At 51.6% G+C, this 23,727-nt stretch overlaps 1 protein-coding gene, 1 long non-coding RNA gene and 2 pseudogenes across 6 annotated transcripts in view, besides 8 other annotated features; 2 read left to right on the forward strand and 2 right to left on the reverse strand.

Moving 5' to 3' along the window:
• On the forward strand, positions 1-5,321 carry ALG1L12P (ALG1 like 12, pseudogene; annotated as a pseudogene).
• On the reverse strand, positions 3,403-15,382 carry FAM86B2 (family with sequence similarity 86 member B2). Of its 4 annotated transcripts, NM_001137610.3 has the most exons (8): positions 15,230-15,382; positions 13,034-13,096; positions 11,064-11,144; positions 9,332-9,433; positions 7,963-8,096; positions 7,615-7,880; positions 6,639-6,788; positions 3,403-4,971 (listed from the first exon to the last, which is right to left on the reverse strand). In NM_001137610.3, the coding sequence occupies exons 1-8, from the start codon at positions 15,323-15,325 to the stop codon at positions 4,871-4,873; spliced, it is 993 nt and encodes a 330-aa protein (NP_001131082.1). In that variant the 5' UTR covers positions 15,326-15,382; the 3' UTR covers positions 3,403-4,870. The 4 variants fall into 4 exon arrangements, 1 of the variants encoding a protein (NP_001131082.1); NR_148878.2 differs by lacking the exon at positions 7,615-7,880 and having other exon boundaries at positions 15,132-15,382; NR_148876.2 differs by lacking the exons at positions 7,615-7,880; positions 9,332-9,433.
• Positions 5,215-5,859: an enhancer, noted in NCBI's record as "H3K4me1 hESC enhancer chr8:12283742-12284386 (GRCh37/hg19 assembly coordinates)". NCBI's record gives its function as "activates a minimal SCP1, AML or CMV promoter by ChIP-STARR-seq in naive H9 embryonic stem cells {active_cell/tissue: H9 hESC(naive)}" and the evidence as "EXISTENCE:reporter gene assay evidence [ECO:0000049][PMID:30033119]".
• Positions 14,354-14,997: an enhancer, noted in NCBI's record as "H3K27ac hESC enhancer chr8:12292881-12293524 (GRCh37/hg19 assembly coordinates)". NCBI's record gives its function as "activates a minimal SCP1, AML or CMV promoter by ChIP-STARR-seq in naive H9 embryonic stem cells {active_cell/tissue: H9 hESC(naive)}" and the evidence as "EXISTENCE:reporter gene assay evidence [ECO:0000049][PMID:30033119]".
• Positions 14,998-15,640: an enhancer, noted in NCBI's record as "H3K27ac hESC enhancer chr8:12293525-12294167 (GRCh37/hg19 assembly coordinates)". NCBI's record gives its function as "activates a minimal SCP1, AML or CMV promoter by ChIP-STARR-seq in naive H9 embryonic stem cells {active_cell/tissue: H9 hESC(naive)}" and the evidence as "EXISTENCE:reporter gene assay evidence [ECO:0000049][PMID:30033119]".
• Positions 14,998-16,018: a biological region, named in NCBI's record as "Sharpr-MPRA regulatory regions 5244/11724 and 13137".
• Positions 15,442-15,736: an enhancer, noted in NCBI's record as "tiled region #13137; K562 Activating DNase matched - State 9:DNaseU". NCBI's record gives its function as "activates a minimal TATA promoter and a strong SV40 promoter by Sharpr-MPRA in K562 cells {active_cell/tissue: K562}" and the evidence as "EXISTENCE:reporter gene assay evidence [ECO:0000049][PMID:27701403]".
• Positions 15,702-15,996: an enhancer, noted in NCBI's record as "tiled regions #5244 and #11724 (exact overlaps); K562 Activating DNase matched - State 9:DNaseU, and HepG2 Activating DNase unmatched - State 23:Low". NCBI's record gives its function as "activates a minimal TATA promoter and a strong SV40 promoter by Sharpr-MPRA in K562 cells, with weaker activation in HepG2 cells {active_cell/tissue: HepG2 | K562}" and the evidence as "EXISTENCE:reporter gene assay evidence [ECO:0000049][PMID:27701403]".
• Positions 15,729-15,788: a silencer, noted in NCBI's record as "silent region_18946". NCBI's record gives its function as "represses an Ori minimal core promoter by ATAC-STARR-seq in GM12878 lymphoblastoid cells {active_cell/tissue: GM12878}" and the evidence as "EXISTENCE:reporter gene assay evidence [ECO:0000049][PMID:35858748]".
• Positions 15,859-16,018: a silencer, noted in NCBI's record as "silent region_18947". NCBI's record gives its function as "represses an Ori minimal core promoter by ATAC-STARR-seq in GM12878 lymphoblastoid cells {active_cell/tissue: GM12878}" and the evidence as "EXISTENCE:reporter gene assay evidence [ECO:0000049][PMID:35858748]".
• Positions 15,995-23,727, forward strand: part of FAM86B2-DT (FAM86B2 divergent transcript) — a 129,833-nt gene continuing 122,100 nt past the window's right edge. Inside the window, exons 1-3 of one of the 2 annotated variants that reach the window (NR_040092.1) lie at positions 15,995-16,692; positions 17,146-17,493; positions 19,982-20,043. This is a non-coding gene — a long non-coding RNA (FAM86B2 divergent transcript). Of the gene's footprint in view, positions 16,693-17,145; positions 17,494-19,950; positions 20,044-23,727 lie in introns of both variants that reach the window. The other variant, NR_040091.1, reaches the window with a different exon arrangement.
• DEFB109E (defensin beta 109E (pseudogene)) lies at positions 16,637-23,719 on the reverse strand (annotated as a pseudogene).

Raw genomic sequence — 23,727 nt, forward strand, 5'->3', positions numbered from 1 at the left:
CTCTTCTCTGTGAAGGCAAAAAGCCTCTGAGGGAGTATTACAGCCGCCTCATCCACCAGAAGCATTTCCAGCAGATCCAGGTCTGCACCCCCTGACTGCAGGGCCAAGGACTACCCCCGCTTCTAGGTGAGAGGCCAGCAGGAGGCTCAGGGAGGAGGCGGGGCCTTAAGCAGGGGGAGCAGGGGTGGGCATGATGTACTTTTTCTGAAAAGGTGGCTCTGGAGGCCACTTGGGGACAGGACCTGGGCTCTGGCTGAACTCCCGGGAGGAGGCTACTTCCTGGTGTGCCAGCCCCTCCCTGCCAGGTCGCCCCAGAGGCCCTTTACCAAGGGGTTTGAGGAGGCCACGTCCTTTCAGTCTGCCACGCCCTCCATTGCATCCTCTTCCTTCCTCCAGGAGGGCTGGGCCTGGGTTTGGGGCCACTGTTGCCCAGGTGGGGGAGGGCAGTGGCTTTGGGAGGAACAGGGACGATGTGTCAAACAGCATCGCCTCTCCCAGTGAGATGGTTCTCCTTTGCCTCCGTCTCTTTCCCCATTGATTTCTCCAAGTGGGGAGTCATGGCTTGGTCCTGATACGTCTCTAGAGCTGCATCTTCCAGCTTCGAGTGAGCAGAGCAGTTGGAGTCTGAGGGCCTTTTCCTGGCAGGATTCTCCAGCTAGTCTTTGTTTTAGACAGTCTTGCTCCGTTGCCCAGGCTGGAGTGCACGATCTCAGTTCATGCAACCTCCGCCTCCTGGGTTCAAGCGATTCACCCACCTCAGCCTCCCAAGTAGATTACAGGATTACAGGAGTCCACCACAACAGCTGGCTTATTTTTGTATTTTTAGTAGAGACAGGGTTTCACCATGTTGTCCAGGCTGGTCTTGAACTCCTGACCTCAAGTGATCCTCTCGCCTTGGCCTCCCTAAGTGCTGGGATTCCAGGCGTGACCCATCATGCCTGGCCCCAGGTAGTCTTTAGAAATGTTAAGCTATTTGGCTTTATTTTCACACTGACAGCTGGTTTGTGGTGGGTGTGTTATGGTTTATTATTATTATTATTATTATCATTATTATTATTTTGAGACGGAGTTTCGCTCTTGTAGACCAGGCTGGAGTGCAATGGCGCGATCTTCGCTCACCGCAACCTCTGCCTTCCCAGGTTCAAGCGATTCTCCTGCCTCAGCCGCCTGAGTAGCTGGGATTACAGGCACATGCCACGGATTAGCATCGCTAATTTTGTATTTATTTTTAGTAGAGATGGGGATTCACCATGTTGGCCAGGCTGGTCTTGAACTCCTGACCTCAGGTGATCCACCCGCCTTGGCCTCCCAAAATGCTGGGATTACAGGCGGGAGGTGAACCTGGGAGGTGGAGGTTGCAGGGAGCTGAGATTGTGCCACTGCACTCCAGCCTGGGTGACAGAGTGAGACTCTGTCTCAAAACAAAACAAACAACAACAACAAAAAAACAAATTGTGGTTACGTAGAAGTGTCAACTTACATTTTCAGATGTCCCAGCCAGGCCGTGTGGCTGCTTGGCCAGCTTAAGCCACTTGTGCTTGGGGCTGTCGGGGGCCTTATCCAATTTTCACTCCCCTCGGGGGATGTTGTCTCACTGTGCTGGGAGGATTTGTGTTCCCAGGGCAGAGACCAGCACTCTGCCCCACCCCTCTTGCCTAGCAGGGTTGGTGGACCTGGGTGTCTCTCTGGACACATCCTCCAGTGGCCTGGACCTGCCCATGAAGTTGGTGGACATGTTCAGGTGCTGTTTGCCTGCGTGTGCCGTGAACTTCAAGTGGTAGGAGCAGAACCCGAATCTTTCTGGGGATAGCTTCACAGATCCACCGCTGACGGGGAAGCAGTGCAGAGTGAGCTGCCCAAAGTGAGGCCCTGCCCCTTGGTCAGTCCAGCACACACTGGAGGCCATGAGGAGGAGCCCTGCGGTTACTGTGGCTGGGCTGAGCCTCACTGAAGTAGGTGCTTCCATTTAGAGCTCATGCTATATTTAGGTTGGTACAAAAGTAATCACGGTTTTTGCCATTAAAACTGAAAATTACTTTTGCACCAACCCAATATGAAAAAAAAATAAAGCACCTTAAATACTAGAACTCCACTCGGGGCTTTTGCTCCTAGAGTAGAATTGGCGGGAAATGCCTGCAGGCTTACATGGTTTTCTTTGTTTTTCTCTCCCACCATGTCCCTTTTGGCCAAGCTCACATGGTGGGTTTGAATGAGTTAAATGAGTGTCATGCTGTGGCCTCACTCCACCCAGCATAGACGGGTGTTTGGAAGGGTGGCGTTAGAGGAGATTCTAGAAGCAGTAGCCCCAGCACAAGTTGAGCCCTTGGCCCCTGCTCAGCAGCCGGCTCCTGGATGGGATTCAGGGATGCGAGCCCCTCGTGTGAGCTGAGCTCAGGGAATGTGGGGATCAAATCTGGTGTCCTAGAAAAGTCATCTTTTATGTGCTGAACCAGTCCCCAGGGGGTTGCCTTTACTTGTTCCATGGCCATGGAATTAAGAAAAACATGCAAAAGTAATTCTTCAGTACTTGAAGAGCATCCAGCACAGAAGGTACAAACCTTCCTTAAGGCTCCCTCCTCAAATCGGTTTGGTCATTTTGATGTGCACCCCCCCAGGCCTTTATACCCTTCAGATGCCAAATCTAAGAACCAGCTCCCAGAAACCACACCCCCTGTTCCAAACCCCAGCCTGGCTTGAGCGTGGGGTGGGTGGGATCCCAGCTGGGCACCCCAGGAGTCTGGTGTCTTCCCCAGGCAGCTCTCAGGCTCCCTTGGTTCTGTCTGCAGTTTACATGAGCTGGTGAAACATGTAGAAAATGGCCTGATCTTTGAGGAGTCAGAGGAACTGGCAGCTCAGCTGCAGGTAGCCATGTCTGCCACCACGCCAGGGTGGGCAGGGTTCTGGAGACTGGCATTGAGCCACGCTCCCTGATCCCTGCTTCCCACAGCCAGGGTGGGACCATGGGGGGTCTGGTGGAAAAGCTAGTGGGGGAGCAGAAGTCACAGAGGCCTCCTACTCTGCTGTCCCATTTCGGTACAGTAGGCTCGGGAAAGTTAGGACACAACCCCACCTGCCCTCTGGATTTATGGAGCTGACACTCCATAAATGATGCTGGAGCCGGGTGGGCCGGGCTGCAGTTTAGGAAGTGATCGGATCAGGTAGGTGCGTGGGCAAAGGGAACTTCTGGGACCAGCCTTGAAAGATGGGTGGAATTCTGCAAAGGTTACTTGTTTCTTATTGCAAAAAGTAATACATCATTCTTGTCAACAGAATGATTGGGAGGATTTTCAGTAAATGTCCAGGTCAGAAGTCATTTAGACAGGGTACCCCAGTCTCTGTCAGAACCATGGTACTCTGTTGTGGTGTGAAAGTAGCCACAGATCATCTGTAGATTAAGGGGTGTGGCTTTGTTCCAACAAAGCTTTATTTACAAACACAGGCTGTGGGCTGGATTTGGCCTGCAGGCTGTAGTTTGTGATCCTTGATTCAGACAGTTTAGCAAGGCTGAAAAGAACACCCACACCCCCTTGTTACCCACAGATGGGTGGGACTGTGTTGGCCAGAGGCCGAGAGGAGGGTGCTCACAGGGGAACGTACAGCATGTAGAGGCCGGAAGGTGCTCCAGGGCACCAAGTGTGGGAAAGTGGGACATACGGGGAAGTTTCCAGAAAGCATGATGTCAAGTTGGAGGTGGAGCGCTGCTGGGTTGTGAAGGGTCTCAAGTCCAAGTGAGGGAGTTAGGGACTTGGGAGGGGTTGTTGTTGGGTCGGGGACCTGGGGTCAGCCAAGTGGTGACCTGGGATGGGGTGGGGACAGGCAATGAGTTAAGCTCTGCTCTTTAGCATTTTGCAGATGCTTTTCTCAAACTTTTCTGATCCTGCAGGCAAGCTAAACCAGTTCTGGAAGAACCTGCAAGAGTCTCAGCAGCTCTGATGGGATGAGAGCTGGGTGCAGACTGTGCTCCCTTTGGTTATGGACACATAACTCCTGGGCCAGAGGCTAAAACCCCAGGGCCCCTGCTGTCCTTCCCGCAGCTTCTTGGGGTCTCAGGGCAAAGCCTTTCGAGCAGCGCCTCCCAGTGGCCAGAAGCTGAAATGACGGCAGTGGTGTCACCTGGTGAATGACCCGGGAAGCTGTGGTTGGCCCTGATTTCTTCTTTGGAGTCTCTGAAATGCTTCCTGTCTTCTGTTCTTCATGCCCCATGCCCCTGCTAGCGTATTACTGTTCTGTGACTTCCCTGTGACCTCTGCAGTACTCCTCATCCTGCATTTGGTCTCCAGGTGTCACCTTTCTGCCGTGTTCCTAACACTTTCATTCCTGTCTTGAAAAAAGCGCCTGCTGCACCATAAGCCCTGGGATGTGGCAGCTGCAGCGGGCTTGGCTTTGTGAGGAACCGAGTGTGTCCAGGGATGTGGCAGCTGCAGCGGGCTTGGCTTTGTGAGGAACCGAGTGTGTCCAGGGATGTGGCAGCTGCAGCGGGCTTGGCTTTGTGAGGAACCGAGTGTGTCCAGGGATGTGGCAGCTGCAGCGGGCTTGGCTTTCTGAGGAACTGAGTGTGTCCACGTTGGGGGAACGTCATCCTTGATACACACGTTTTTATTTGCAGAAAGAAAATGCTATTTTTGGAGCTAGAATTTTCATGTCTGATTTATGATGATTTTCTTGAGAACCAGAACTGCTGGCAGAAAGGGGGCACCCACACGCCTAGACAGCTAATGTCTTATTAGAGGGCAGTTTTGATTCCTGATTTGGAGTTTAATAATCTCCAAACATTCCAGTCCAATGAAAGTTTTATCCACTTTCCCATATAAAAATTCTTCCCACGAGAGTGACTTGATTCTCACAATCCCTTTGGAGTCATGTGTGAGTCCTACAGTGTGAGGTTCAGCATTGCCATCTCCAAGTGCTCTCCATAGGGAAACAGTTTCTGGTCATGATGAGCTTCCGCTTCCCATCTGATCCCATCCCGGCCTGGAAACAAAGCACGTGTTTGAGGATGGCGGTGTTTGGGGACAGGACATGAGCGTTTTGTGTGGGGCTGCTAGGACAGGCCTGGCGGGGTGGGGGGTGTCTAAGTCAGTTTACTTGGTTCACAGGTTCGGAGGCCCACCCACATACCTAGAATTCGCCTCCAGGATGGGACCAGAAATCTGGTTTTGCATAGAAATGGCTAGCAGCAGGCACCATGCCGCTGTCCACTCTGTGCCTGCGTCTGCCCCAGCACTTGGCACAGCAGGACAGAAGCAGAGATCTGAACCCACATCTCCCTGGCTGCTCAGTCAACTCACTCTTCACAAAGCTTAGAAAGTGGCCGGGCACAGCCAGACTCTGTCTCAAAAAAAAAAAAAGGTTGGTTGAGGCTTATACTATGTGTGCTGCTTGGCACTGTTTTTTTCACTTAAAAGATATTGCAGGTTTTTTTTCACGTAAGTATCTGAAGAAAGACTTCCTTTTTTTTTTTTTTTTTTTTTTTTTTGCTTTTTTGCTTTTTTGAGACAGGGTCTTGCTCTGTTACCCACGCTGGAGTGCAGTGGTGAGATCAGGGCTCACTGCAGCCTCCACCTCATGGGCTGAAGCCATCCTCCCACCTCAGCCTCCCGAGTAGCTGGGACTACAGGTGTGTGCAACCACATCTGGCTAGTTTCTGTATGTTTTGTGAAGATGGGGTCCCACTATGTGGCCCAAGTTGGTCTTGAACACTTGGGGTCAAGTAGTCCTCCTGCTTTAGCTTCCTAAAGTGCTGGGATGACAGGCCTGAGCCCCGCGCCCGGCCAGCCTCCTGTGCGAGGTTGTGTGGGACTCTGTCATGGAACCCAGTATGCCTTCATGTGCTGGCTTGTTTGTTGACTCTGTAGTTAATGGGCTGCCCCACGTGGACAGGCACTGGGTCATCCATGTCTCTGTGTACAGGCAGAGGCTGCTGCGGGTACATCTGTGCACATGGCTGCCAGGAGGGGCTGTGCTCAGGGGGAGCTGGGGCAGAGGCTGGTGGCAATGGGGGGCTTGGGTGTAGTGTGGAGGCACGAGAGCCAGGTGGCCGGGCTGCAGTCTGCGGGAGCTCGGGGGTCACTTGGCCTCTGTGTGTCCTAGTGTCTTTGTCGGTGAGATGGGACAATGACAGCACACCCTCACAGGTGCTGGGGGTTGACAAATGTCAGGTCTGAGGACAGTGGCTGGCCCACTACGGGGCCAGTTTCCCTTCTCTATAGTCACCCTGCTCGTCTTCCATCAACTGGGTGCTCAGGACAGTGGCGTGGTGGATCCGCCTGTACAGCCTGTGCTCCAGCGTCCTGCAGTCCACAGCTGTGTCCAGCCCTGACCCCGACTGCCGCTCTCGCCACCTCCATTTTATAGATGAGGAAACCGAGGCCCAAGGGCTTAGGGAACCCTGCTCTGAAGCACATAGTAGGGCTGCTGGGCTCAGACCCTCCCTCCCTGTGCTGAGGTGTCCTCCTCCTGCCTCAAGCCCCCCACGCCCCGAGCCCACCCTGCTCACCGGCCTCTGCCCGAGTTCCCCGCATAGTGTGGGAGTGTGGAGCATCCTAGCTTTTCCCCAGCGCCCAGTTCTTTCACTTCCACTGGAGTCCTGCAGGGACAGCTCGGGCACCATGTAGGCCCGGGTGGGCGTGGGGGTTCACCTAGCTCGGTGGTGAACAGCTGGCATGTCTCTGGGTTGCGGACGGTAAAGGCCACGTAGACCTCAGGAGCCCGCTTGTGCTCCCGGCAGGCAGCCAGCCTCTGCAGGACCCCGACCAGCGACACGATGGCTTCTGGGCAATACAGCACGTCTACGGTGAAAGTTTCAGGTTACTGAAAGGGACAAGTGGAAAGTTCCAGTTCATGCTGACCTCAGCAGCAGGGCGAGGCCAGAGAGGCAGCGGTCATATGAGACTATTAGATGCCATTTGACCATTTGGGCCATTAGATGGAAAGGCAATTATTTGGGTGAAAAAGGAGAACCCTTATTAGAGAAAGCTGCAAAAGACCGAAGCAAAAGAAAAAAATCTCCAGACTCACTGGTGTCCTTAAAAAACCAGCTCTGGTTCTCGGCCTGTCTAGAGGGCTTTCAATGACAGAAAGCCTGACCCTGCCGTGAACTTCGTGTTTCAGGTGTCTGCCGATTGGTCTGCTGGCTTGCAGGGGTGGGCCTGTGTCCCTGGCCACCGCTGGACCTGTGGGTTTCAGGGCTGGGACCCAGGACTACAGGCAGAGTTCTGTTCCACCAGAGAGGGGACTGAGTGTGCTCACAGGGGTGAGGGGTTTTCGGTGGCCCAGCCAAACAGCACCTTCTCTCAAGGGCCCTGACCTCGTACCAGAAGTGGTTGTTTTCCTCCTGCGGTCTCTGAAGGACACAGGGCATGGCTCTGGGACAGAGCCATGTGGTGACGACTGTAACGGGAGTATGCCTGTCTCCAACAACAGGGCTGTGGCTTGAAGGTCACCTTAAGAGGCACCCCTGTCCTTTGATGTCACCCTGGAGGCCCAGAGTAACTCTTCTGGAAGCCCCATCACGTCCATGCCCGACAGTGTCCATTGTTCCCTTTTCCCAGAGCCAAGAGCTGGGTAGAGCTGCAAGGACACCGCCTGCACAGGATGCCCGGGGCTGGGCATTACCTGCTGCAATGACAACATCTGGCTGGAAGGCAGAGAGCTGATGGACCATTGCTACGTCCCAGTCCAGCTGGGCCACTGTCACCCTGGGGCTGTCTAAGTTGCCAGTGATGTCTGCCTCTAATGAGAGGCCATTGAGAAGGACATTCCCTCGGAGCTGCTCGAGGATCCGGCTGTGAGGGTCGCTGAAGATGTATGCCCGGGGGCGGCACATCTTGCAGATGGCAAGGCCTGTGAGGCCGGCACCACTGCCAAGCTCTAGGACAGTCCTGGCGGGAGGAAAGGGGACCGTGTTTTCGACTGCACCAGGGTAAGCCTGCCTCGGTGCCCTGCCCTGTGCCCCAAGGTCACCTGTTAATGAAGGCTGCCGGGTTCTCGATGGCCCATTCTGCAAGGTAGAGGGCGGCATCCCATGTGACCAGGCCTGTGGTACCGTGGGAGATGATGGCTGTGCTCTTGGAGAGTGTGACTGAGCCTCCTGAGGACTGCACCAAGAGAGGGCGAGAGAGTCAGTCCAGCGATCAGAAGGCAAGTGGCTTAGAAGACAAGTAGCCATCCACCACATGGCTGAATAAACCATGACAGGACCAATCGCCACTCAGCAATGAGAAGCAGCTAACTGTTGACATACCAACAGTTGCACGGGCCTCAAGGGTGTCACGCGGCATGAAAGACACTCATCTCAGGCCACACAGGATTCCATCTATTGAACATTCCTGAGACAACGGAATTCTGGCGATGGAGCACAGGTCAGTGGTGGCCAGGGGCCAGGTGTGGCTATGAAGAGGTGGCTGCCTTGTGATGATTCAATATGCTATGTTTTTCCTTTGTGGTTTTCTGTATCTATGTTTTATCTCATTTTTTTTTTTTTGAGCTCTGTCACCCAGGCTGGAGTCAGTGGCACGATCTTGGCTTACTGCAACATCTGCCTCCTGGGTTCAAGCAATTCTCCTGCCTCACCTGCCCAGGTAGCTGTGACTACAGGCGTGTGCCACCATGTCTAGCTAATTTTTGTACTTTTTTTTGAGACACAGATTCACTCTCGTTGCCGAGGCCGGAGTGCAATAGCACGATCTCGGCTCACTACAACCTCCACCTCCCGGGTTCAAGAGATTCTCCTGCCTCAGCCTCCCGAGTAACTGGGATTACAGGCGCCCACTACCACACCCCGTTAATTTTTGTATTTTTAGTAAAGATGGATTTTCACCATGTTGGCCAAGCTGGTCTCAAACTCCTGACCTCAGGTGATCCCCTTGCCTCAGCCTCCCAATGTGCTGGGATTACAGACATGAGCCACCACGCCTGGCCTAATTTTTGTATTTTTAGTAGAGACAGGGTTTCACCATATTGGCCAGGCTGGTCTCGAACTCCTGACCTCAGATCCACCCGCCTTGGCCTCCCAAAGTGCTGGGATTACAGGCATGAGAGACCATGTCCAGCCCTGTCAAGTATTCTTTGAGGACTGGGCACCAGGTCCTTGTGAAGCAGGTAGTGTGTGTCACCTATTGGACAAATGCCCAACAACCCCACGAGACATGCTGTTGTTGTTGAAGTGCTTGATTTACAGACAGGGAAACTGAGGCTAAAGAAGGTTAATGGACCTCATGTCTAAGACTGCAGAATGGGTGAGTCAGGATTTGAACCCACACCCACGTTTTCACTTTGTCTGTGCAGGAAGGGTATCTGGGCTGTGAGGGGGAGGAGGGTGCCTTTCTCATACCAGCAAATAGCTCCGGTGGCCCTGGGTGGACTCCTTGGCCATCAGAGTCTCCGCGAGCACCTCGTACAGTTTGTCCAAAGGCTCCGTGTGGACAGCCTCGTGCTGGGGGCAGACAGAGTGAGAGCTTGTTTGCTTTCGTTCTAATCTGTAAAAATGGCCAGATGATTTTCACCAAGTTTGGAGGGGAGATTTGGGATGGAATGGTGTAATACCGGCCAGCTGGTATATAAAATACTCACTTCGTTGGGCGTGGTGGTGTGTGTCGAATAGTTCCAGCTACTCTAAAGGCTGACGTGGGAGGACTGCTTGAGCCCAGGAGTTCGAGGACAGCCTGGGCAACAGAGATCTTGTCTCTAAAAAAAAAATTATTCCACTTGGTAGGGAAACCTGGATGGGAGGGCCTTCAACAAGAGGTGTTGAGAGGGTAGGGTTAGGTGTAGTCTAGGGCAGGAGACAAGGATTCCGTGAGAGCTGCCACATGACCATGACAGAGAGCTCTGTGTTTGGATCAAACACAGAGAGGAGGAAAACAAAAGGTGCTTTTAAGTGAGCCCAGGCAGAACTGTGAGGGCGGCCCATGCTGCAGGCTGTGGCTGTCAGCAGGCTGCTTCTCCACAGCTGGCCCAGTCCTAGGATTCACAGGGCAGCAGCAGGGTACACTGGGTGACTGCTGCCCTCTCGTGGTGGCACAGGGCAGACCTGCTGGTGACCAGAGATGCACCCTTTTGGGGAGAACTAGGGAGAAAGCAGGTATTGGAGAAGCAGGGGATTGTTTATTTGTTAAAAGTGTGGCCCTTTCACTCAGCAGGTCTGCTACTGCCTACTAAGGAATGGCCTCTCGACATCCTCATGTCAAACCCTGCATGTTCGGGCCCATCTTTAAAATCCATCCTAGGCCAGGTGCGGTGGCTCATGCCTGTAATCCCAGCACTTTGGGAGGCCGAGGCAGACGGATCACCTGAGGTCAGGAGTTCGAGATGAGCCTGGCCAACATGGTGAAACTCTGTCTCTACTAAAAATACAAAAACTAACCAGACATGGTGGCATGTGCCTGTAGTCCCAGCTTCTTAGCAGGCTAGGCACGAGAACTGCTTGAACCCAGGAGGCAGAGGTTTCAGTGAGCCGAGATTGTGCCACAGTAATCCAGCCTGGGCAACATAGTGAGACTCTGTCTCAAAAAAAATATATAAATAAATAAATAAATAAATAAATAAATAAATAAATAAGTAAAAAATAAAATCCATCCTATATCAGTCAGGAAAGAGCTCATTCCAGCAGGATCAATGCAGAGAATTCACCAGAGGAACTAGTTCCAAAGGTATGGCAAGAGCTAAAACTTCCAACAGGGGTCCGTGGGGCAACCCAGAGACGGACAAGAGCAGGAAACTCCAAACCCTTTGGTGGGCAGGACAGAGGGTGTGGGTGATGGTTCCAGTGCTGTGGGCTGGTCCAGCCTGGTAGGAATGAGAATCCATATGCTAGGAGCTGAGGCCCCAGAGAAGCAGCTGCTGTGGAAACCCCAGAGGGCAGACTCAGGGAGAGATGCTGGCCTCCCCTTATTCCCACCCTGCACTGTCTCCCATGGGTCACACTCAGCTGCAGCCAGTTGCCTGGGGAGGGCCCTGCCATGCTGGGGTTTGCAAAGCAGGCCCAGGGCCTGGGAAGGACGGAGTGTGCAGCACGCCGGTGGCTATGCTGTCCAGCTACTGGGCGGACACTGCCTATAACTGACCTTTTTGATGAGTTCTGAGAGAAAGCACCAGGCATACTTGACTGACGGCGGGTGCTTCACACACACAGGATGCCTCACAGTCTACGGCAAAGGACAGAACGTTGGTTGCTTGAGAGCCCGTCTTAAGTCTCCTATGAGCTTCAAGCCAACACAGCAGAGGGCAAACTCCAGGCTACCCGATCCCTCAGCAAAGATGCAGATGGACACAGCGTTCTGGCCCCATGCATCTGAAGTTTGTCTTAAGATATAAGCCGTTTCCTAAAAATGCTTCCACTGCAGTGGCACAGGCTATGGCAGCATTTCTAATGCCCATTCTGAGCAGGAACACAGGGCATGTGGGCCCAAACCACCTCCCTCCCAGGGGAGCCAGTGTGAACCAGGGTTTGCAGTAAGGTCAGTCGCCAACTATCTGGCTTTATGGAAGAGGCGGGAAGGCCCACTCAGCAACTGCTCTCTGGGAGCGTGTGTCCCTGGGGACAGGATGGAGGGGAGGGGAAGCTCAGGGTGACTCCAACTAAAGCTGAGAGAAGCCAAGTGCAGGATGAGCAAGTTCCAGGCAGTGGGAACAGCCTGTGCAAGCTCTGAGGTGGCCACGGGCTGGCACTTGGAACGGAGGGCAGAGGGACTGGTGCAGCAGGAGTGGGGACGGCGGGAAAACAGGAGCCTGGAGGGAGAGGGAGGAGACCGTCCGCAGCGCCTGCTGGCTGGGAGGGATGCAGATTCTGCCCAAGGGCAGCAAAGTACCCCAGGCAATACACAGGCTCTTCATGCTGGTGCTGGTTTTTCATTTGTTCTGACCCAGAGTCTCGCTCTGTTGCCCAGGCTGGAGTGCAGTGGCCCGATCTTGGCTCACTGCAGCCTCCACCTCCTGGGTTCAAGCGATTCTCCTGCCTCAGCCTCCCGAGTAGCTGGGACTATAGGCGTGCACCACCACACCCAGCTAATTTTTTTTTATTTTTAGTAGAGATGGGTTTTTGCCATGTTGGCTAGGCTGGTCTTGAACTCCTGACCTTAGGTGATCCGTCCACCTCAGCCTCCCAAAGACCTGGGATTACAGGTGTGAGCCAGTACAACCAGCCTTGTGCTGGGTTTTAAAGCAGCTCTCCCTACATCTCATGCTTCACCACCTATGAGAGTGAGGCTCAGGGTGAAACTCAGAGCAAGGTGCGAGATAACTTCAGGTATCTCCATGCTCGAAGCCCTGACCTACTGTATTGCCCCGAAAGTCTTCCCTGCTGTGCTGCATCTTTTCCACGTGGATAATCTTGGTTCATCTCTAGCACAGGAATTCTTCACCGGGGCTCCTAGGATGGGCTGGGTGGGTGGGCGTGGAGGATGTCTGCCTCCCCTGAGTTTGTATGGAAAATGTATTCTGGTGCACTTCTTTCTGGGAGGGAGTCTATTGCTTTGTCTTTTCAGAAGGGCTCATGGCCCTTTGAAGGTGAAGACCCAGGATGCAGGGTGATCTGCACTTGGCCCTCAATGCCAAGGTCAGCCTGTGGCTGGGCCAGGTGGTGATCCTGGCTCTCACTTGCATGCAGATGCACTTGAGTCCAAACCCCACCCTGGGCAAAGCAAGGGCCCATTTAGGTCTAGAAGAGACAGGAGTGGGCGGGACAGGCCTCATGAATGCAAAAAAGAAAGTCTCTGAGCATCTACCAAATGCTAGAAGCTGTTTTGCACCTGTCATCTCTGTTTTTGCTGTGGATGGTTTAAAAAACATTCCCTAGATTTCCCCCCTCTTGCAGAATTTTGTATATTCTGATGTCTTTTCTAAGTCTTACATAGAAAACGAAACCGTAGGAGCTGTCGGAGGTGCTGACACCCTTCTGAAGTGCTGACTCAATGGTTTTGTTCTTTGAAGAGGGCTGTTTTTAAAGGGTACAAGCACACCTGTGCTGCTTCTCTCAGGTCTTCCGGAGAGATTCAGGAGGCAGGATCATGAGTCCCAGGGACTCTGGGATTCTTACCTTCTGCAAAATATCCCGCAGCAGCTCAGAATCTGATGAGTCTCTTAACTTTGCCTCTAAGCTCTGTGTGGATGGGAGAGAGAGAAATCTCAAGGGCCCATTCACAGGAACATTAAACACGCAATAGAATGTGTTGGCAAAGCTCTATGTGATCCCTCCCTGGGGACGTGGAGCCAGTTGGAAGTGGAAGCCACAGCGGCTGAAAGCCTGACCTTCAGATGTCGCAGGGTGCACCTGGATGAGTCACAGGAAGAAGGCTGACTCTTGGTCGCATTAGTCCTGGCTACTCAGCTGCCACCCAGGTCATGGGCCAGCTCCCTGGTTACACTGGTCAGCCAGGAATTACCAGGGCAGCCATGGCACCAAGGTTTGATGGGCTTGCCATCTGAGTTTAAGTGGAAATGCAGAATGTGCCCATACCAGCCTGGGTTACATTGTCCTCTTACAGGGGCCTCAAGCCCAGCAGTGAGCTTTGGCTCCCGAGTTAGGCAGACTGTCTCGGCTGGTATGTGACACATGGCAAGGCACTTCATTGCTTCAGAGCTCCTTCTATGCCATAAAAGGCCCTACAAGGCCTGCTGCTAATCCCCCTCTCTGGCCTGTTCTCCCTCACCACTGGCCCACCCTGCTCACTCCACTCCAGCCACACTGGCTGCCTTGCTGTTGTTCCTCAACCACAGCTGGCTTATTTCCACAACAGGGCCTTTGCATATCTTGTTCCCCAAACCCTTCCCATGGCTGGCTGCTTCACCACTCAGGCCCCAGTTCAAATGCCACCTCTTTGGGGAAGGCTTCCCTGATTCCCTGACTTTGGTGACACTTCTCCCCAGTTGCTCCATTCACCATTTCCCTGTTTTATTGGCTTTAAAGCCACTCTCATCTGGTCTTTTCTTGTTTATTCATTTATTCTCTGGCTCTCCCATGCAAGCAGAGCCTCATCTATCATGGGTACTGCCGATCCATGGTGCCTGGCTCACGGAAGGCATTTATTAAACATTTTGAGACTGAAGAAAACACTAGCTAACACCGACACGCATTTACCATGAGCCAGGCACTGATCCGCAGGCATTTGTACTCAATGCTGAGAACAACCCTAAGAGGTAGGTATCATTATATCCCCCATTTTATTAATAAGAAAACAATAGCACAGAGAGATACAGTCACTTGCCCAAGGTCACACAGGGCCAGGGGTTGGGCCAGGATTCGAAGCAGGCAGGCTGTCTCCTGGGTCTGAACTCTCAACTACTTCACCCTAATCAAACAATCCCTCTGGTCAAATGTGAGTGATAATAATAGTACCCACCTGGTGGGTGTTGAGGGTGAGCCCAAGTTAGCATTCAGTGTGGGCATGTGAACAATTATAGTCAATATTGAATGGAGACCTATGATGCTTTTATGAAGGTTTCTATTTTGGGTTAAAAATGCACACATTTCTCCTGACCAGAAATGATCTCTGAGTGCTAAATATTTTATGTCAATGGAATAATGCAAATGATTAAGCAACACCCCATAAAATGGGGCAGACCCAGGGAGGAATATATATCCCAACTGACTCATCCAGTGAGCTCAATGCACATGAATTACAAATGGAACGGGGTGCATTAAGCCCCTCTGCTGGCAGAAGGGAGGCTGCTGCCTGCCATGTGCCTGTGCTGAGAATGGCAGGTCCCCAGGGAGAGGAGAGGCCACCCCCTTCTCTGTCTCTTCCATCACAGGCGTGAAAGCCTCAGCGCATGAGCCGATTCTGTGCAGTGCTCGACATACAGATGAGAACACTGAGGCACGAGGGACAGCCTGTGACCTGGTCACCACGCTCAGGAGGAGGTGGTTACCCGCGGGCCTGAGGGCGCTGACTTTTTAGAATGGGCGAGTGCAGCTGTGTCCCAGTGACCAGAACGATTACTGCCTTTAAAAAGTCGTGAAAATGATCGTGAACCGTACCCCACACCGAGCGCGCGTCTACCCCCTAAGGCGGTGGAGACGCCCCCAGCTTCCGCCGCCAGCTCGCGGGGCAGAAGGGGTGCGAGCGACTCTGGCCAGGCCCCAGGGACGGGGACCGGGTCTCGCGGCCCTGACCGAGGAGAGCCCAGGAACTCACGTGGCCGGAGCGCCGGGGGTTTCAGCACGGAGACCCATCCCGTCTGCCCCTGGACTCCCGCGACCCCCGCGGGCCTCTCCGCTCGCCCCGCCGCCCACCTGCCAGGGGAAGGAGCGCAGTGTGCGCACCGCCAGGAAGCGGCGCTCAAAACCCTGCAGCAAGAGTTCGGTCCCCGCGTTCTCCTCGGGCGCCATAACGTGGGCGAGGCCGCAGCCGTTGCCGGGAGACCTGGAGGAAGCCGGGCCTGGACTGAAGAGGGGGCGGGCCGAGGGCAGTGCGCGGGGGCAGAGAGGGGGCGGGGCCTGGGGATAGGGTCAGGAGGTGCGTCCTGGGGGCGGACTCTAGGGCGGGGCCAAGATGAGCGTTAGGAGGGCGGGGCCTGGGGTAGGGCCAAGATAAGCGACATCGGGGCAGGTCCTGGGTAGAGTCCAGGTTGGCGGTTCCTGGGGCAGGGCCAGGATAGGGCGATCCTGGAAGCTGGGCTTCGGAAGCGTCCAGGTTGGTGGCGTCCTGGAGGCGATGCCTTGCGTGGGGGCAGGATAAGAGTCCTGGAGGCGGGCATTAGGGCGCGGATAAACGCCATTGGATTCAGGAGGCGGGACCCAGAGCAGAGCCCAGGAGACAGGTCTTAGGGCGGGGCTAAGGCCAGGCCCAGAGAAGGGCTCAGGAGGCGGGGCAGGGGCGGGGCGTTGACTATGTCGTAGCACATGGCCAGGCGGTGCGCGGACTCTGGGAGGCGAAGCTTAGGACGGGCCCACTTGGGGAGGGGCCCAGGGCCCGGGAGGCGGGGCCGAGTCCGGGCTGGGCTGCGCTCAGGAGGCGGGCCCTGGGAGGCGGAGCTTAGGGAGGGGCCGGTGTTGGGAGGGACCCAGGGACTGGGAGGCCGGTTGGGGCTGGGCTCAGGGGCCGAGACCTAGCTGGGCTTGGGGCGGGGCCGAGACGGAGCGAGGGGTCCAGGGTGTGGGAAACGGGGAGGGGTTTGAGGAGGGGATCGGAATGTGGCTCAAGTTCGGGAGGCGTTACCTGCGGAGGGTTTGAGGCAGGCCCAAGAGCGAGCCCATGGTCTTCCGACGCGGGGCCAGGGGCGGGCCCCAGGATCCGGAGCTTCGTGCGGGGCCGAGTCCAGGTTTGGGGCCCGGGAGGCGGGGCCAGTTAGGGCGACTGTCCCTGGGATCGTCGGGTCAGGCCTTGGGCTAACGTAGGCACTCTCGCAGTTCCTCCGCCTTCAGGAAGGTCTTTTCAGCAGGGGCCTTACGGGTGCATGCTTCGGTCCTGGAGGCCTTATCCTAGCCTCCTCTCCATCAGCGCCACCCGTCTGGGGCCCGAAAGGAGGGAGCTTTCCCTCTGTCCCCCAGCCTTTGGACTGTCACCAAACAAGCCATTCGTTCATCAAATACTTTTTAAGCGCCTACCATGTGCCTGACAAGGGAGATGTAACGGTGAGAAAAACTAGGTGTGGTCCAGGCCCTTCAGGGGCTCAGGTGCTCGTGGAAGAAGTGGACATTGAAGTACTTATCACACAAATGAGGATAAAAGTACGATAGCGATATCTACCACGAAGGTGAGCAGACAGAGCTAGCGGGGCTTGCAGGAGGAGTTTTGATCTTGCAGGGACAGGAAGGAGGAGTTAACTCCTGCGGGGTGGGATTGGGGGTGGTGGTGATATAGACGTGGGGACAGAGTGGAAAACAACAAAAATATAATTATTTTAGTTCAAAGTTATTGTGTCTTGAGTTGAAAGGCAGGGCAGTTAGCAACACAGCTTAGATTTCAGTACTGCCCCTGAAATCTGAACTGTGTTCAAAGTCTAAAACGTTTACCTTAGCAAATTCCTCATCAAACTCCATTTGGAAGAGTCCCGAGAGCTAATTTGTTAAGTATACTTGCAAAAGGTAGATGAGGAGACAGATAAAATCTTATTACCTCTTTCAGATGAGAGGCACTTGAGCCCTGCTCAGCTATGAGAATAAGAGAGGGGAATTAATTCTAATTGAATACACTTGTTCTCTTATAGCTGTTGTTCCCCACCAGAACCAAATGAGCGCAAGATCTGACAAAGAAAAAAAAAGGTTCATCTTTTATTCCTCCAAACACTTTCATTTAAATCAAGAGGATGGGATGTGGTTATTGCTGTGTTTTTAGACAGAATCAACGGTTTCTGGGTCTGAGATGTTGCATACACCTTCTCAGTCCCTGTATCCTGAGATGGAGTCACCTGAGAATCCACAGCAAGTCCTAACCAGGGATGGGTCTGGGTGATTAAGGAAGGTTGGCTTCAGAACTGGGCCAGGGGCACTGCTTTGCTTTTGCTGTTTTGATCAGCTCTCTGCCTGAAGGAGACAAGAAAAACCAACGGGAACAGGTTAGTTATACTGATAAATCCTGGGCTTATTTTATTAACTCACATAATAGCTATTGTCTTTCCTCCAAGGAGCAAAAGGGCATATACGGTCAATGCCATAGTAAGTAACACTGTATTATGTTATACTAAAATATTAATAAATCTAGGTTGGTTCAGTCTTTCCTGAGTCCACAGATTGGAAGCAGATTGAGGAAGGACGCTAGTGGACCACAGAGCTGAGCCATGCACACAGAAGAAATCTTTTTTTCTTTTTTTCTGGAGACGGAGTTTTGCTCTCTAGTTGCCCAGGCTGGAGTGCAATGGCGCGATCTCGGCTCACTGCAACCTCCACCTCCCAGGTTCAAGCGATTCTCCTGCCTCAGCCTCCCGAGGAGCTGGGATTACAGGCGTGAGCCACCCTGCCGGGCCACTTTTGTATTTTTAGTAGAGACAGGGTTTGAACACCTTGGCCAGGCTGGTCTCAAATTCCTGACCTCAGGTGATCCACCCACCTCTGCCTCCCAAAGTGCTGGGATTACAGGCGTGACCCACCGCGCCTGGCCAGAAGAAATCTTTATCTTGGTGTGCAGTGTCTGGTGAGGGACAAATGTCATCTCTCTTGGATCTGAATCTGGAAGGATCAAGGCACTGAAGGGATTTTTTTGTTTCAGACAGTATCCCTCTGTCGCCAGGCTGGAGTGCAGTGGCGCAATCTCAGCTCACGGCAACCTCTGCCTCCCGGGCTCAAGGGATCCTCCTGCCTCAGCCTCTCGAGTAGCTGGGACTACAGGCACGCGTCACCAGGCCCAGCTAATTTTTGTATTTTTAGTAGAGACAGGGTTTTACCACGTTGGCCAGGATGGTCTCAATCTCTTGACATCATGATCCACCTGCCTTGGCCTCCCAAAGGGCTGGGATTACAGGCTTGAGCCACCACGCCCGGCCTCACTGAAGGGATTTTTTTAATGTCACGTGGCTCTCACAGGTGCGGTGTGTTTGGGTGCAAGTGAAGATTACGACTGATGCTTAAAAACAAATGTAAAATTCCAGGTGGTGTTGCTATGGGGAGCAGCATTAGGACAATCTGAGTGGTTTCAGTTGCAAGAGTGTGCGTGTACGTGCAAGTGCTACAGTCAAGATTCAACTGCTGGCTTTGAGGGTCTCTTTAAGAACAGTAATGACAACCTAAGGCAGTTTAACAGTATGGAATGGTTACCTTTTAGAAGTTAAGCTATGGGCATGGAAGTTCAATCAGTGCATTGAAGTTTTTCCTTTATCTCTCCTATGGTTAATGGTTTCTGCAGAAAAGGACCAATTGATTTCTTTCTAAAACGTTGCTTCAGGGTGTAGAGACCTTTATAGGTCATGTTTCAACTTACAGAAAATTTTTATAGTTCAAATATAAATTAAGTTCAATGTGGAATTTGTAATATAATTTCAGGTGAAGTAAAATTTCCACTTTCCTTAGGCTGTTTGCAGTGCCCAGCAGGCCCCATGATATCGAGATGGAAGTTCTGTTAAAGGAGGAGATTGATCAGGGATGGGCAGAATAAGGAATATGGGCAGCTCAGGCTAATGATACAATGATTGAGATGTAGAAAGAGGGTCAGGCATGGGATAACGCCTGTAATCCCACTGCCTTGGGAGGCCAAGACAAGAGAATCGATTGAGGTCAGACCAGCCTGGTCAACAGAGTGAGACCTAACCTGTACAAAAAAAAAAAAAAATTAGTTGGGCATGATGGTGTGCACCTGTATTCTCAGCCACTTGGAAGGCTGAGGTCAGGGGATCCCTTGAGCCCAGGAGTTTGAGGCTGCAGTGAGCTATAATCACATAACTGTACTCCAGCCTGGGTGACAGGGTGAGGCCCTGACTCAAAAAAAAAATTGAGTCAGGGAAAAAATTTGAAATCTTAATCCTCAGTACCCAGGAATGTGACCTTATTTGGAAATAGGGTCTTTCTAGATGTAATCAAGTGACAATGAGTCATCCTGGATTGGGGGCTGCTGGTGAGGGGGCAGATACAATGACTGGTGTCCTTATAAAAGAAGAGAATGAGGGCCGGGCGTGGTGGCTCATGCCTGTAATCTCAGCACACTTTGGGAGGGTGAGGTGGGGGGATCACTTGAAGTCAGGAGTTCGAGACCAGCCTGGCCAATAATAACAATAAAAAAGCCTTTTTAGATTCCAAGCCACTGAAAGAAAACTGTCCCTTAGTTAATGTCATGCTTATTGGATCCATGAAGTCTTTGAAAATTTAAACTACAAGGACACTGCTCTCTGTGGTGGTGGAGAGAATACCAAGGATTTAAAGGTCTTTAAGAAAGAGAATGTAGAAAGCGTACCCATTGGAAACAGCACGATGATGATAATCGTACTGACAGTAATAATAAGCTCAAATATATAGAGCTTACTATGTATCATGAATTGTTCTGAATGCTTTATAAATATATGTTACCTCCTTTACCCTCATGACAGCCCAGTAAAGGCGCCATTCCCCATTTTACAGCTGGGGAAACTGAGTTACAGAGCTTGTCTGCACTGAGTCATCAGGAGCAAATGCTAGATCAGGTAATTGAACCCAAGCAATCTGGTTCCAGAGCCAAATAGATGTATTTTTTATGTTATACAAACATATACATATATTTTTAGGGGAAGGGTGGGTGTAGGATGGGATGAGGATTCTGGGTAATTGCTTGGTAAATACCAAATACCTTTCTTGTCTGTCCTTCTTTTCAAATGATAAAGTAATGTCAGTTGCAACACTTTTTTTTTTTTTTTTGAGAGAAGGTCTAGCTGGAGTACAGTGATGCAGTCACAGCCCACTGCAGCCTCAAATTCCTGGGCTCAAGCAATCCACCCACATCAGCTTCCCAAGTAGTTGGGACTAGAGGCCCACAATACCATGCCCAGCTAATTATTTTAATTTTTGTAGAGATGGCAGGTGGCGGTGAGGGGCGGGCGGTTTTGCTATGTTGCCCAGGCTGGTCTCAAACTCTTGACCTCAAGTGAACCTCCTGCCTCAGCCCCACAAAGCTCTGAAATTATAGGCATGAGCCACTGTGGCTGGCTACAATACTATTTATTTATATTTTAGACCAACAGGTATTCTACCATATAAGAAATGTGATGTTCTCTGTACATTGAAGAGTTGGTCTAATATTTGGCCTGGTGGATGGAGAAATTGCCTGTCTGCTCCGCTCTGGTTGAAGAAACCAGTCTGACTGTCTCTGAGGCTATGGAGCAGTCCATGAAGAATGAAAGCCCTTGGCCAGGCACATTGGCTCACACCTGTAATACCAGCGCTTTGGGAGGCCGAGGCAGGTGGATCACTTGAAGTCACGAGTTTGACACCAGCATGGCCAACATGGTGAAACGCTGTCTCTACAGAAAATAGAAAAATTAGCTGGGCCTGGTGACACGTGCCTGTAATCCCAGCTACTCAGGAGGCTGAGGCAGGAGAATCACTTGAACCTGGGAGGCAGAGGTTGCAGTGGGGAGCTGAGATCACACCACTGCATTCCAGCCTGGGCGACAGAGCGAGACTCTCTCAAAAAAAAAAAAAAAAAAAAAAAAAAAAAAAGAATGAATGTCCTCATGATGGCCTCAAGCACATTGGTCCCTGAAGAGAGCCAAGGAAGGCCCACTTTACTCTGCACTGCAAAGCAGGCAGGTGGACAGGATGAGAAGTGGATTCAGTGACAGGCATTGACCCAAAGGATTTTCTGCCTAATGGTCGGTTCAGCAGAAGATTAAACTGAGCACAGCATCCTGTTCCCTCAAACTGTCTGGTTGGTCAGTGGGAAATGTTCTTGTCTCGTTAAATGTCCTCATGCTACTGTCAAGATATCCAGTTACAAAACATCATAAACCAGGTTTACAAATAGGCCAGGTGACTGTGGAATTTCTCCTTGGCAAGGCCTTAGCTATGGGCATGCGATTGGTGTGCAGTAATCACAGTGTTCCGGGCCACTTGAGGGATAAAATATACCTTAGGTGATAAACTGTTGTATTTTAATGTGAATATTTCCACCAACACTAAACAGTAACCCCATGAGTTTTCTCATACCTGTTACACTGTGGAGTTGCAACAAGCTAACAAGCAAGTTGCAAACAGAATTATCGCATTTGGCTCTTATTCACAGCCAGGGTTCTTCAAGCTGTACCTGGGACAGTCTTCCCTCACATGAGGTTTATAGCATCATTTATTTCATTATTTATTTATTTTTTGAGACGGAGTTTCGCTCTGTCGCCCAGGCTGGAGTGCAATGGCGCGATCTTGGCTCACTGCAACCTCTGCCCCCCCGGGGTTCACGCGATTCTCCCGCCTAAGCCTCCCGAGTAGCTGGGATTATAGGCACCCGCCACCACGCCCGGCTAATTTTTGTACTTTTAGTAGAGATGGAGTTTCACCATGTTGACCCGGCTGGTCTCAAACTCCTGACTTCAGGTGATCCACCCGCCTCAGCCTCCCAAAGTGTTGGGATTACTGGCATAAGCCACAGCGCCCGGCTATAGCATCATTTAAACTTTGTTTCTGCCATGAATTGTTAGTTGGTAGTTAACAAAAAATAGACCACCTCATTTATGTCTCACAGTTAGCATTGGTTTTTGTGTTTTCTTTAGGCTTGTTTTTTAATTGTTTTTAAAATTGTGAAACAGGGTCTTGTTCTGTTGCTGAGGCCAGAGTGCAGTGACACAATCTTGGCTCGCTGCAGCCTCAACCTCCTGGGCCCAAGCAATCCTCTCACTTTAGCCTCCTGAGTAGCTGGGACTGCAAACAGGAGCCACCACCCCTGGCTAATTTTTAATTATTAATTTTTTTTTTTTTTTTTTTGAAATGGAGTTTCGCTCTGTCACCCAGCAGGTTGGAGTGCAGTGGCGTAATCTCGTCTCACTGCAACCTCCACCTCTCGGGTTCAAACCATTCTTCTGCCTCAGCCTCGGCACCCACCACCATGCCTGGCTAATTTTTAAAAAATATTTTTATTAGCGACAGGGTTTCACCATGTTGGCCAGCCTGGTCTTGAACTCCTGACCTCAAGTGATCTACCTACCTCAGCTTCCCAAAGTGCTGGGATTACAGGCGTGAGCCACCACGCCAAGCCTAATTTTTAAATTTTTTGTAGAGACCAGGTTTTGCCATGTTGTCTAGGCTGGTCTTGAACTCCTGGGCTCAAGTGATCCTCCTGCCTTGGCCTCTCAAAGTTCTGGGATTACAGGCATGGCCCTTATGCCTGGCCCTTAAAGCTGCTTTTTAATAACAGCTTTATTGAAAGATAATTCACATACCATACAATTTGCCCATTTAAAGTGTATCATTTGGCCGGGCATGGTGGCTCACACTTGTAATCCCAGCACTTTGGGAGGCTGAGGTGGGAGGATAGCTTGAACCCAAGAGTTTGAGATGAACCCGAGCAACATGGCAAAACCCTGTCTTGACCAAAAATACAAAAAAATTAGCTGGGCATGGTGGTGTGTGTCTGTAGTCCCAGCTACTGAGGAGGATGAAGTGGGAGGATGGTTTGAGCCTGGGAGGTGGAGAGTGCAGTGAGTAGAGATTGCACCACTGCACTCCAGCCTGGGCAACAGAGCCAGACCCTCTCTCTAAATAAATAAATAAAGTGCATAATTCAGTGGTTTTTAATATATTCTCAGAGTTTTGCAGCCATCATCACCATCAATTTTAGAAATTTTAATTACCCCAGAAGAAACCCTGTATCCATTAGCAGTCACCCCTTATTTCCCCCGACTATCCCCACCCCTGGCTCCTGGCAACCATTAATCTACTTTCTGTTTCTTTGGATTTTCATATTCTGGGCATATATATATATATATATATATATATATATATATATATGTGTATAATATATATATAATCATCTAATATTTGTCTGGCTTCTCTCACTTAGCCTAATGGTTTCAAGGTGTATCCAGGTTGTAGCATGAATCAGCCCTTCATTCCATATTGTGGCTGATTAATGTTCCATCACACGGGTGGACTGTACTTGTTTGCTTATTCATCTGCTGTTGATGGGCATTTGCGTTGTTGCCACCTTTTGATAATTATGAATAGTTTTGCTACGAGCATCTGTGTGTGTCTTTGTATGAACAGACTTGCATATTTTTTGATATGGGCAAATGAGAACCAGCGGCAGGGGGCCTCTGTGGTGACGTTTTTGGTGATCTTCGTGTACTCTGTATAATGATCAGCCACTCAGGCTTGGGGGCAGCACTTAACCTTACATTCTTTCT

This window comes from Homo sapiens, chromosome 8 (genome assembly GCF_000001405.40).
Source record: "Homo sapiens chromosome 8, GRCh38.p14 Primary Assembly".
In the NCBI taxonomy this organism is placed as follows: Eukaryota; Metazoa; Chordata; class Mammalia; order Primates; family Hominidae; genus Homo; species Homo sapiens.

Coding starts and splice junctions, on each gene's coding strand:
- FAM86B2 (NM_001137610.3), bottom strand. CDS start 15,325: ATGGCGCCCGAGGAGAACGCGGGGACCGAACTCTTGCTGCAGGGTTTT. Junction 13,097..15,229: donor TGCGCTCCTTCCCCTGGCAG/GTGGGCGGCGGG, acceptor CCATCCACACAG/AGCTTAGAGGCAAAGTTAAG. Junction 7,881..7,962: donor CCGGCAGCCTTCATTAACAG/GTGACCTTGGGG, acceptor TCCTCCCGCCAG/GACTGTCCTAGAGCTTGGCA.